The following is a 12,629-nucleotide window of genomic DNA, read 5'->3' as shown; positions in this document are numbered from 1 at the left end:
AACCAAAGGAATATAAATCATTCTATTATAAAGATACATGCACGTGTATGTTTATTGCAGCATTCACAATAGCAGACATGGAATCAATCTAAATGTCCATCAGTGACAGACTGGATAAAGAAAATGTTGTACATATACACCATGGAATACTATGGAGTCGTAAAAAGGAATGAGATCATGTCCTTTGCAGGGACATGGATGGATCTGGGAGCCATTATCCGCAGCAAACTAACACACGAACAGAAAACCAAAGGCCGCATGTTCTCACTTATAAGTGGGAGCTGAATGATGAGAACACATGAACACATTGCGGGGAACAACACACAGTAGGACCTGTTGGTGGTGCAAGGGCAGGGAGAACATCAGGAAGAATTGTTTACGGATGCTGGGCTTAATACCTAAGTAATGGTATGATCTGTACAACCAACCACATGGCACACGTTTACCTATGTAACAAACCTGTACGTCCTGTACATGTGCAGGACTTGAACTTAAAAGAAAAGTTGAAGAATAAATAAATATTTAAAACGATGGATTAAGGACTTAAATGTAAAACCCAAAACTATAAAAACCCTAGAAGGCAACCTAGGCAATACCATCCTGGATCTGGAAATGGGCAAAGATTTCACGACAAAGACACAAAAAGCAAACACGACAAAAATAAAAAATTACAAATGAGATCTAATTAAACTTAAGAGCTTCTGCACAGCAAAAGGAACTATCAACAGAGTAAGCAAGTAACTACAGAACGAGAGAAAATATTTGCCAACTATGTATTCAACGAAGGTCTAATATCCAGCATCTATAAGGAACTGACATTTGTAAGAGAAAAACAAGGTTGGGTGCTCACTCCTGTAACCCCAGCACTTCGGGAAGCCAAGGTGGGTGGATCACCTGAGGTCGGGAGTTCGAGACCAGCCTGACCAACATGGAGAAACCCCATCTCTATGAAAAATACACAATTAGCCGGGCGTGGTGGCACATGCCTGTAATCCCAGCTACTAGGGAGGCTGAGGCAGGAGAATCGCTTGAACCTGGGAGGCAGAGGTTGCAGTGAGCCGAGATTGCGCCATTGCACTCCAACCTGGGCAACAAGAGTGAAACTCCGTCTCAAAAAAAAAAAAGCAACCACCTTAAAAAGTGGGGGCAAAGGACATGAACAGTCACTTTTCAAAAGAAGACATACATGTGGCCAATGAACATATGAGAAAAAGCTCAATATCACTGATCATTAGAGAAATGCAAATCAAAACCACAATGAGATACCATCCCACACCAGTCAGAATGGTTGTTACTAAAAAGAAAAAAATAACAGATGCTTGTGAGGTTGCAGAGAAAAAGGAATCCTACACACTGTTGGTGGGAGAGTAAATTAGTTCAACTATTGTGGAAAGCAGTATGGTGATTTTTCAGAGAGCTAAAAGCAGAATTACCATTTGACCTAGCAATCCCATTACTGGGTATATACCCAGAGAAATTTAAAACATTCTACCATAAAGACACGTGCATGGGAATGTTCATTGCAGCACTATTCACAATAGCAAAGACATGGAATCAACCTAAATGCCCATCAACGACAGACTGGATAAAGAAAATGTGGTACATATACACCATGGAATATTATGCAACCATTAAAAAAGAATGAGATCATGTCTCTTGTGGGAATATGGATGGAGCCAGAGGTTATCATCTTTAGAAAACTATCACAGGAACAGAAAACCAAATACCGCATGTTTTCATTTATAAGAGGGAGCTTAATGATAAGAACTTATGGACACAAAAAAGGAAACAACACACACTGAGTTTACTTGAAGGGGCAGGGTGGGAGGAGGGAGAGAAGCAGAAAAGATAACTATTGGATATTGAGCTTAATACGAGGATGATGTAATAATATGTACAACACGTGTTTATCCATGTAACAAACCTTCACATGTACCCCCAAACCTAAAATAAAAATTAAAAGAGATGATGCATTGCTTTTGTTGATATTTATTTTTTAAATGGACAGTTTTTTGAAAAAAAGGGTTTCAAATAAAAATCTTTAAATGAACATGGAAGTAGTAGTTTGGAGTTTCTGGAAAGTTCTAGGCTTAAAATACAAATTTAGGAGTTACCAGCATACAATTTATTTTTGTCACAAGACTGGATTAGATTGTTGAGTGAGGAGTGCATAGATTTAAAATATATATTGGAGAAGTCTAAGGACTGAGCTTAGGGCTCTTCAATATTAAGAGGTCAAGACGATAAAAGGGAACAAGGAAAGGAGACTCAGAGAGTGGCTGATGAAAAAAGAGGAGGGTGAAGAGAATGTGCATTCTGGAAACTAAATGAATCAAATATTTAAAGAAAAAGGGTGATTAGGTGTATCAAATGTTGCTAATCAGGCAACGAAGATGAGGACTGAGAATTGACCATCGGATTTTGCAATGTGGAAGTCCTTGGTGACTCTGACAAGAGTTTTAGTGGAATGTCAGAGAGAAGCCATTTTGGAGTAGGTGTAAGAGAGAATATAAAAAAACTGGAAATGGGGAATTTAGACCAACCACTGGCAGAGTTTTGCTGTGAAGGTAATGAGAGAAATGGAGCAGAAGTAGAATGGAAAAAGAAGTAGAGCTGCAGAGTTGTAAAGTTAAGAGATTTTTTTGTTATTGTGTTGTTTGTTTTTGTTTTTACTTTTTTAAGATGGGAGAAATACTAGCATGATCACACACTGAGGGGAAGGTTCCTGAGGAGATCCGCTTCAGCTGTGTTAATACTAGTAATTAGTCCCTGCCTGGTTTTTAGCTAGATTATATTCACTCTTTCAGAATTATATGGCTATTTTAATAATTAAACTTTCAGACTGATAGGAAAGCTGAATGCTGTCTCTGTGCACTGCCTCTACCCTATCTTTCTTCAAATTGCTGTTCAGGTCAACAAAGACATACTTATTGATAGATCTAATAGTTAATTTTCTGCTGCTTATCTGCTAAATACGATTCTAACCATCCTCCTACTTGCTGCAACTCTTTCTTTCATTGGCTTCCAGGTTATCACCCAATCCTGATTCTCCGTCCCCCTGTCTCTGTGTGTTCTTAGTCTGTTTTGCCTGCTCCAGCTCTGCCTGCCCCTCCTGGGTTGGCATCCCCAAGGCCCTGTCTTTGATTCTCCTGTCTCACACACTTCAGGGTTATCAGCTTCCATCCTGGCTTCAATTCCTACTCTATTCATGACTCAATAACTTACGTAATAGTAACGGCATCTAACATTTACTGAGCAGTTAGCATAGTACTTGTGCCAGGCACTTTGCTAACTTTTGTACCTGCCTTGTCTCACCCAATTCATACCAAATACTCTTCTGAGAATTACCATCTTCATTCTAAAATGAAGAAGTGTATGCTCAGTAAGACCCCAAATTTTGTCTAATCCCGTGGCAGAACTTTGATTGAACCCATTGTCTATTTGACTTTGAAGCTGTTGTTATAACGACTATATTTCATTATCTTCTAAACCTCTAACTCAGATCTCCTTGGTTTTAGACTGACATCCAACTACCCACTGGATGTAGCTCAGGTACTTCTGCCTTAGTAGGTATTAAACTAAATTCATATTACTTGTCCCTCCTTTCAACCCCTTTTCTACCCTTCAATTGTCCCTATTTCAACACCTCCTTCTCTGATATTTCTTATTTCTTATCATGCTTTCTCCTTTAATCCACCCCTTAAGAACACTTTGGATTTTCTCTCTCCCTCATTGTAATTTCCGTTGGTCTCCAAGTCACCACAGAGGCGTCTCTGCATCCCAGCGCAGCCGGCATTCCCCTCTGCTTCCTAATTGACCTCTGGGCTGCTGAGTTCCCAACTGCAGTTGGTTCTCCCTACAGCTGTCAAGGTTAGCTTTTCAAAAAATCAATGTCATCATTCCACTCCACCTAAAAATCTCCAATGGGCCTTGTCACCTCCAGAGTCATTTGTGTTCTTAGAGGATTTCTTGTGTTCTTAGAGGATTTATAGAGACATAAATGGCCGTGCCTTCCTTGCCTGTCAGACACATCATGAACATATGTGAATAATTACATTTTAAGATATATGTAGATACTTCTTATGCTGAAGAAAACAAGTTTCAAAATCTTTACTAAATTTTAAATAAATTCATTAAATTAAAAATGAGTTATTCACCTGGTTTGGTGGCTCACATCTGGAATCCCAGCACTTTGAAAGACTGAGGCAGGAAGATTGCTTGAGCCCAGGAGTTCAAGACCAGCCTGGGCAATATGACAAAACCCTGTCTCTACAAAAAATACAAAAAATTAGCTGGGCGTGGTGGCACAGGCCTGTAGTCCCAGCTACTGGGGAAGCTGAGGTGGGAGGATCGCCTGAGCCTGGGATGTCAAGGCTGCAGTGAGCTGAGATCATGCCACCGCACTCCACCCTGGGTGACAGAGCAAGACCCTGTCTCAAAAAAAAGGAAAAAAGTAATCAATTATTTTTTCTCAATGGGTAACTTAATGCACAACGATTGTCTTATGAGTCTGCTCAATTTTTTGACATTAAAAAAGATACTCATTCATAACTACATACCGATTTGATTATTGTTATGTAAAAGCTCTCATTTTAACTAATACTCTTCGACATGTCTGTTTTCTGGCTGTGGACCTTGCAGCTAGGTCATGTTAATTCTGCATAATAAACTTTGGTAATGTATCAGTTACAGAGTGGAAATAGGTAATTGGTGTGGGGGAAGATTGGGATACTGACACTAGAGTCTTTTTGAAACTGGAATGGAATAAATTCCACATTCTAAAAAGCTCAATTAAAGTAATTAAAAATTCCCTGTGGTCTCTTATTAACTTCCAAAAGAGGCATTCAGGTGAAGCCTTAATATACAGTATAGTAATATACTACTATATGCATCTGGGACTAGACCTCAATATTCTAGTCTCCTAACCTGGCATTGTTAACATGGCTTGAAGGGGCCAGTAGGACCTCACGGCCTAGTTGGAGACTCATATCTCAACTCAGTTTCCAATCTTATAAGCTGGGACATCAGCTGTGAGAGAGGTGGAAGCTTCAAAAAAAAAGAATGTATTTTCCTAGGAACCACAAGAAAAGCTTCATCAAATCTTTTATAGTAAAAGCAGAACACTCTACGATTCTTACATTTTCCACTTCAACTAATCACTTAGTAATTCAACAGGTATTTATGTGGTAACAACTCAGCCAGGGAGTGTTTGAGTTGATCTGAAAAGTCAGAGTTTACAATCAAAAGGAGGAGGGAGAAATGAAATGTAGAGGAGGATAATAACAAGTAGTGATTACATCCCTAAAAGAAATACAAAAAAATCCAAAAGCATCTTCTCTTGGATAATAGCAAACTGGGAAAACTCCAAATAGTCAGAGATGAGGTTCTTTCTCCTACCCTGTGAAATGAAGAACCTAGTAAGAACATTTTTTTTTTTATTAAAATTCAGTCTTTTTTTTTCTCTCTGGCTCATAGATGTAGGTTTAATACTTCCCTTTATTTCTGCCACCTGATTCCCTTTCTCCCCGCATGTTTTCTTTTGACTGGTATGAGATGATATCTCATTGTGGTTTTGATTTTCGTATCTCTAATGGTTAGTAATGTTGAACATTTTTTTACAAGCTTGTTGGCTGCACCAATGTCTGTTTTTGAAGTGACTGTTCATGTTCTTTGCCCAATTTTTAATGGGGTTGTTTGCTCTTTGCTTGCAAATCTAGTAAGATTTTGCCTTAGGTGAAATCTTCCTGGAAGCAGCAAGCCCTTTCAGAAATGAGGTACTGCCCAGTCTACATTCATATGCCAGTTACAAGTGGACTTGGAGGTGGCGGGGAAGATGGGTTGTGGGGGAGGTGGGGTGGGTGGCAGGAGGTGTGAGGGGAGGAGGTCAGAGGGAAAGCTGAAGACAACCGAGCATTGGAGTGTTGTCTGCTGCACCCTGGCTGTTCCTATATAGCCTCTCTCCTCCAGATCTCATAGCACCCTGCTTCACTGAAGAGCCTCAGTCACCCCGGAAAGTTCATATCCCCACTGCCCACCTCCCATCAGGAAACAAAGGGATGCTGAGCTGTGCTTGGGGACCCTTTTTTTCTTTTAAAGAGTTTCACAACTACTTTATTTTATTTTCTAAACTTTTATTTTAGGTTCAGGGGCACATGTGCAGGTTTGTTAAATAGGTAAATTGCATGTTGCAATGGAGGGGTGGTTGGTGTACAAATTATTTCATCACCCGGGTAATGAGCATAGTACCTGATAGGTAGTTTTTCAATTCTCAACTTCCTCTCACCCTCCATCCTCAAGTAGGCCCCGATGTCTATAGTTCCCCTCTTTGTATCTATATGTACTCAACATTTAACTTCCACTTATAAATGAGAACGTGGGGTATTTGGTTTTCTGTTCCTGTCTGTTAGTTTGCTTAGGATAATGGCCTCCAGCTGCATCCATGTTGATCCATGTTGCTACAAAGGACATAGCTCATTATTTTTGTGGCTGCATAGTATTCCACTGTAAACATGTACCACATTATCTTTATACAGTCTATCACTGATGGACATTTAGGTGGATTCCATGTCTTTGCTATTGCAAATAGTGCTGCAATGAACATAGGTGTGCATATGTCTTTATGGTGGAATGATTTATATTCCTTTGGTTATATACCCAATAATGAGATTGCTGGGTCAGGTGGCAATTCTGATATAAGTTCTTTGAGAAATCACCAAACTGCTTTCCACAGTGGCTGAACTAATTTACCTTCCCACCAACAATGTATAAGCGTTCCGTTTTCTGTGTAGCCGCATCAGCATCTGTTGTTTTTTGGCTTTTTACTAATAGCCATTGTGGCTGGGCATCAGGGCACAAGTCTGTTATCCCAGCACCTTGGGAGGCTGAGGTAGGCAGGTCACTTGAGGTCAGTAGTTGGAGACCAGCCTGGCCAACATGGCAAAACCCCGTCTCTACTAAAAATACAAAAATTAGCCAGGTGTGGTGGCGCACACCTGTAGTCCCAGCTATTTAGGAGGCTAAGGGATGAGAACTACTTGAACCCGGGAGGTGGAGGTTGCAGTGAGCCAAGATAGCACCACTGCACTCCATCCTGGGTGACAGAGTGAGACTTTGTCTAAATAATAATAATAATAATACTAACAGTAATAGCCATTGTGACTGGTGTGAGATGGTATCTCATTGTAGTTTTGATTTGCATTTCCCTAATGATTAGTGATGTTGAGCATTTGTTCATATGCTTATTGGCCACATGAAGGTCTTCTTTTGAAAAGTTATCTGTTCATGTTATTTGCCTATTTCTTAATGGGGCTGTTTTTTGCTCATTGATTTGTTTGAGCTCATTATACATTCTGGATATTAGACCTTTGTGGGATGCCTAGTTTGCCAATATTTTCTCCCATTCTGTAGATTGTCTGTTTACTCTGTTGATAGTTTCTTTTGCTGTGCAGAGCTCTTTAATTAGGTCCCATGTATCAAATCTTGCTTTTATTGAAATTGCTTTTGGTGTTGGGACCCTTTCGAATGGAAGAGGTTCAATGTAGAGATGAGGTCTTGCTATGCTACCCTAGCTCCTCTCATCCTCTCCTGGATAAGGAGAATCCAGAGGGTGCTATAGGGACCATGTTTTGTTTTCCCCCCTCATAGCTCCCAAGCTTGCCCCTACCACTAAACAGACACTTCTTCCTAAAAACAAAATGAATAAAAACCCACAGAAAAGTACATAGTTAAATGCATTGCTCAAACGTTATCGTAGACTGGGCATGGTGGCCCATGCCTATAATCCCAGCACTTTGGGAGGCCAAGGCAGGTGGATTTCTTAAGCCCATGAGTAATCTGCCCTGGATTAATAAGCCCAGCCTGGGCAACATGGCGAAACCCCATCTCTACTAAAAATTAAAAGAAAAAAAGAAAAGCCAAGCTTGGTGGTATGTGACTGTATTCCCAGCTACTCCAGCCTGGGAAACAGGAGTGAGACCCTGTCTCAAAAATCCCCCAAAATAACAACAAGAAAACCCAAACTTTATCATAATTCAAATAATAGAAATGATAGAGAAAAGAATGCCCCCAGAATCCAACCATCTTAGCCAGATAACAACAGTCTTTTTCTTTTTTTAAGTGCAATTTCTACTCTATTCATATCCTTTGCCCAATTTTGAGATATTTTAAATCGTGAATCAATGGTTCTCAACTCTGACTCATCTGAATCTCTAAGGGAGATTTTACAAGGCATGGATGACTATGCTTTACCTTGACCTAGAGAATCAGAATCTCAAGAACCTGTTTTTAAAATGAACTCCAGGTCAACATTCTGATCCTGGAGACAACATCAGTCACTGTGCGGCAGTTACGTTGCATGGGGTAAATACCCAGGGTTCGTCATCTCATGCCAAGAAAATTTAGGACACAGATACACATGAGGAGTTTCAGAGTGGAGGTTTAATAGGCAAAAGAAAGACAAAGAAAGAGAAAGGAAAACAGCACTCTCTTTAATGGGAGAGAGGGGACTTCTGAGAGGAAAAGGCTGGCCTGTGGCAGATGTGCAGGATTTTATAGTCAGGCTTGAGGAGGCAGTGTCTAATTTACACAGGGCTCACAGATTGGTTTTGATCAGGTATAACATTTACATAGCCAGGGAAGGGGGAAGGCTGGCTGCCCCACCATAATCTTATTATGCAAATGCACTTTCCCGTTGGCAGCACCATTTTTTCTGCTCCGACTGGCACAACTGCCAGCATCATCTGCAGCTTGATTTTACAGGCTGCTCTTTGTTAGAAAGAAAAATAATTTGGGGCTGCTTTTCATTAAAAGGAAAAAACCTTACCTTATGTCCATAGCCTCACTATCTGCCTAAGTAATTTCTTCTTAACTCCTGTATCAACCACATTTAAACAAATTTTTTAAATTGAGGTAAAATTCACCATTTTAAAGTGTACAATTCAGTGATATTTAGTACATCACAATGTTTTGTGACTGATGTATTCTTGTAAGGCATTTTGAGTTACATCTGCTGACACTGTGTAAAACTAGAAAGTTACATTTGCTAGAGATAAAATTAAGTGCTAAGAAAGTTAATTTTTTCAAACTAGTATTTTCTAATGGCTTTTGTTATTTCCATCCCCAGTTCAGTAAGAGAGAACTGTAGAAACATCTGGGAATAGTTGGGAGTATTCTGTTCACCTCTTCGGGTCTGAAAGAGTGAGCGAGGCTGCCCAGGGTTCTGCAAGAACTCCTTTCTGCATTAAATGCTATGAATTTGGAGGCCAAACGTGAATATAGTCCAGTGATAACAAGAGCTGATATATTTTGAAATTTTATTGTGTTCCAACTACCCTGCCAGTTTGCTAATCCTCGCATTATTCCTAAGTCTCCAAACAAGCCTGCATAGTTCTTATCTTTTTTCCACTTGGCAAGTGAAGAAACTGAGAATCTGAGAGGACTTGCTCAAGGTCATACAGCTTCAAGGTAATGTAGCTGAGGTTCTTATGTTTGATCTGTATGATACCATAGCGCAGATCCTGTCTCCCTGAACTCTCCGGACTCCAACTGGATGTCCAAGAATTCAGTTCAGTTTTAACCATCTACCTGGAGTAAGCGTGAATCCCACAGGTTAAGGACTCAGTCCCACAAGACTGCCCTCGCTTCAGAAACCAGTCCCAAGTCTCAGGCCTCCCATACTTCTGACTGATTGGTTACAAATTGGAGATTCCCCCAAGACTCCCTCTCCATGTTTGATAATTTGCTAGAACAGCTCACAGAACTCAGGAAAGCACTTTACCTACTATTACCAATTTATCTTAAAGGATATGACTCAGAAACAGCCAAACAGAAAAGATGCATAGTTTAAGGTATGGGGGTACACGGAGCTTCCATGCTCTCTCTGGGTGCACCACCCTCTCAGCCCCTGGCTGTGTTCACCAATCCAGGAGCATTCTGAGCCCCACCATTTAGGCATTTTATGAAGCTTTCATTACATAGGCATGATTTATTAAATCATTGGCCATTGTTGATTACCTCAATCTCCAGCCCCTGTCCCCTCCCAGGAGGTCGAGGGGTCGGGGAGGAAATTCCAACCCTCTAATCACTTCATTGGTTCCTAGGACAACCAGCCCTTATCCTCCAAGAGTCACATTGTTAGCATAAACTCAGATATGGTTGAAAGGTGCTTGCTATGATAACAAAAGATGCTCCTATCACCCTTGTCACTCAGGAAATTCCAAGGGTTTTAGAATTCTGTCAGGAGTCAGCATGGTGGCAAGCACCTGTCATTCCAGCTACTCAGGATACTGAGGCAGGAGGATTACCTGGGCCCAGGAGTTTAAGGCTGCAGTGAACTATGATCATGCCACTGGTGAGACCCTGTCTCTTAAAAATTATTATTATTTTTTAAAGCTCTGTGTTGGAAACCAAAGACAAACACCAAGTATATATTTCTTACTGTCACACTCCCAAAACACAGCATGAGAGCTTGTGAGCCTAATATTAAGTAGAGAACTTGATCCAAACACTAAGAGACGGAGTTCTGGGTGTCTGAACACAATGCATGGAACCAGGGAGGTCAAAACAGAAAAGAGACAGGAGGCAGAATGCTAGCCAGAAGGTAGAGGTTGTCCTTGAAGTTTTGCTTGTTCACCTGGTAAATTCCTCTCCCTTTGGCAGGAAGACTTTGCCCGAAGCAAGCTCCATATGCCCACTGTGGGGAGCCCAGAATAGGCTTCCACCATCACTAGGTGCAGGCATCAAAAATAGGGTCAAGCTAAGGAGAGTGGTGAAATGTATTAGGAGGCCAGTGGTAGCAGTGCCAGTGGGAAAGTGTTTAGAGCACTCCCTGACGTTTTTGTGGGTTCTAGGTTATCCTCCTGGGTGTTCCTAAGCTGCCTGGCCTCTAGTTATTCAGTTGGCAAGCATTTATTGAGTGCCTTCTATGTGCCACGCATTGTGCTTGGCTCTGCACTGTGTCAAGAGCAGCAGACACCTGAGAAAATGTAGAGGAGGAAATGATAACTTTCAGGGAAATGGCTATTCTGTAAGAGGAAAATAGCAATTTACTAATTCACTGTAGCCCATTTCTATGCAATCTGAGCAGGTAAAAGAGCCAAGGTGTCTGGAAGGGTGTATCAGAAGGGCATCTGGTAATTACATAGATAGTTTTGAATGGTGTCTTGCAAAGTGGGGGCATCCATCAGAATGGAAGGTTGGAGACTAATTGGCTGAATAGTCCATGAAGATGGAGAATCTCTTTAATGATTATGTAGCTTGCTCTGACCTCGATGGTTGTTGGGAGGATGGAGGTGCAAGAGATCCCTTAGTTTAAATACGACAGGGAGTGCACATGAAATGGAGGCCATGACAATTGCAGAGGCATTTAGGATTGGCAGTGGTGCTGCTGCCTGGGCTTCTTCTTGTGTCGGTGGTAGGCATCAAACGTGGGGTCAGGCTAAAGAGAGTCATCAAGTGTATTAGTTTCCTAGGACTGCTGTAATGCATTACCACAAACCAAGTGGCTTAAAGCAACAGAAATTTATTTTCTTGAAGTTCTGGAAACTGGAAGTCTCTCATTAGGGTGTCAGCAGAGCCACACTTCCTAAGAAGCATCTAGGGAAGATCCCTTCCTTGCCTTTTCCATCTTCTGGTGGCTCCAGATGTTCCTTGGCTTGTGACTGCATGACTCCAATCTTTGCCTTCACGTGGCCTTCTCTGTTTCCCTTCTGTGTGTCTCTTTAAGAACACTTGTCGGGGTGGAGCCAAGATGGCCAAATAGGAACAGCTCCAGTCTAGAGCTCCCAGAGTGAGCGACACAGAAGATGGGTGATTTCTGCATTTCTAACTGAGTTACTGGGCTCTTCTCACTGGGGAGTGCCGGAAAGTGGGTGCAGGACAGTGGGTGCAGCGCACCCAGCACGAGCCAAAGCAGGGCGAGGCATCACCTCACCTGGGAAGCATAGGGGGCCAGGGAATTCCCTTTCCTAGTCAAAGAAAGGGGTGACAGACAGCACCTGGAAAATTGGGTCGCTCCCACCCTAATACTGTGCTTTTCCAACAGTCTTAGCAAATGGCACACCAGGAGATATCCCGTGCCTGGCTCAGAGGATCCTGTGCCCACGGAGCCTTGCTCATTGCTAGCACAGCAGTCTGAGATCAAACTGCAAGGCGGCAGCAAGACTGGGGGAGGGGCGCCCACCATTGCCGAGGCTTGAGTAGGTAAACAAAGTGGCCAGGAATCTCGAACTGGGTGGAGCCCACCACAGCACAAGGAGGCCTGCCTGCCTCTTTAGACTCCACCTCTGGGGGCAGGGAATAGGCAGACAAAAGGCAGCAGAACCCTCTCCAGACCTAAATGTCCCTGTCTGACAGCTTCGAAGAGAGTAGTGGTTCTCCCAGCATGCAGCTGGAGATCTGAGAACAGACAGAGTGCCTCCTCAACTGGGTGCCTGACCCCCGAGTAGCCTAATTGGGAGGCACCCCCCCAGTAGGGGCAGACTGACACCTCACACGGCCGGGTACTCCTCTGAGACAAAACTTCCGGAGGAATGATCCTGCAGCAACATTTGCTGCTCACCAGTATTTGCTGTTCTGCAGCCTCCGCAGCTGATACCCAGGCAAACAGGGTCTGGAGTGGACCTCCAGCAAAC

The 12,629-nt window shown here is 42.2% G+C and overlaps 1 long non-coding RNA gene across 4 annotated transcripts in view, besides 1 other annotated feature; it reads right to left on the bottom strand.

The window, feature by feature from the left end:
* Positions 1 to 12,629, bottom strand: part of LOC105375138 (uncharacterized) — a 121,035-nt gene that overhangs the window by 87,595 nt on the left and 20,811 nt on the right. The window lies entirely within an intron of this gene.
* Positions 12,058 to 12,559: an enhancer, noted in NCBI's record as "H3K4me1 hESC enhancer chr7:7050753-7051254 (GRCh37/hg19 assembly coordinates)". NCBI's record gives its function as "activates a minimal SCP1, AML or CMV promoter by ChIP-STARR-seq in naive H9 embryonic stem cells {active_cell/tissue: H9 hESC(naive)}" and the evidence as "EXISTENCE:reporter gene assay evidence [ECO:0000049][PMID:30033119]".

This window comes from Homo sapiens, chromosome 7 (assembly GCF_000001405.40).
Source record: "Homo sapiens chromosome 7, GRCh38.p14 Primary Assembly".
Classification (NCBI taxonomy): Eukaryota; Metazoa; Chordata; class Mammalia; order Primates; family Hominidae; genus Homo; species Homo sapiens.
The sequence above is the reverse complement of the archived record's forward strand: the minus strand, read 5'-3'. Positions and strand labels throughout refer to the sequence as shown.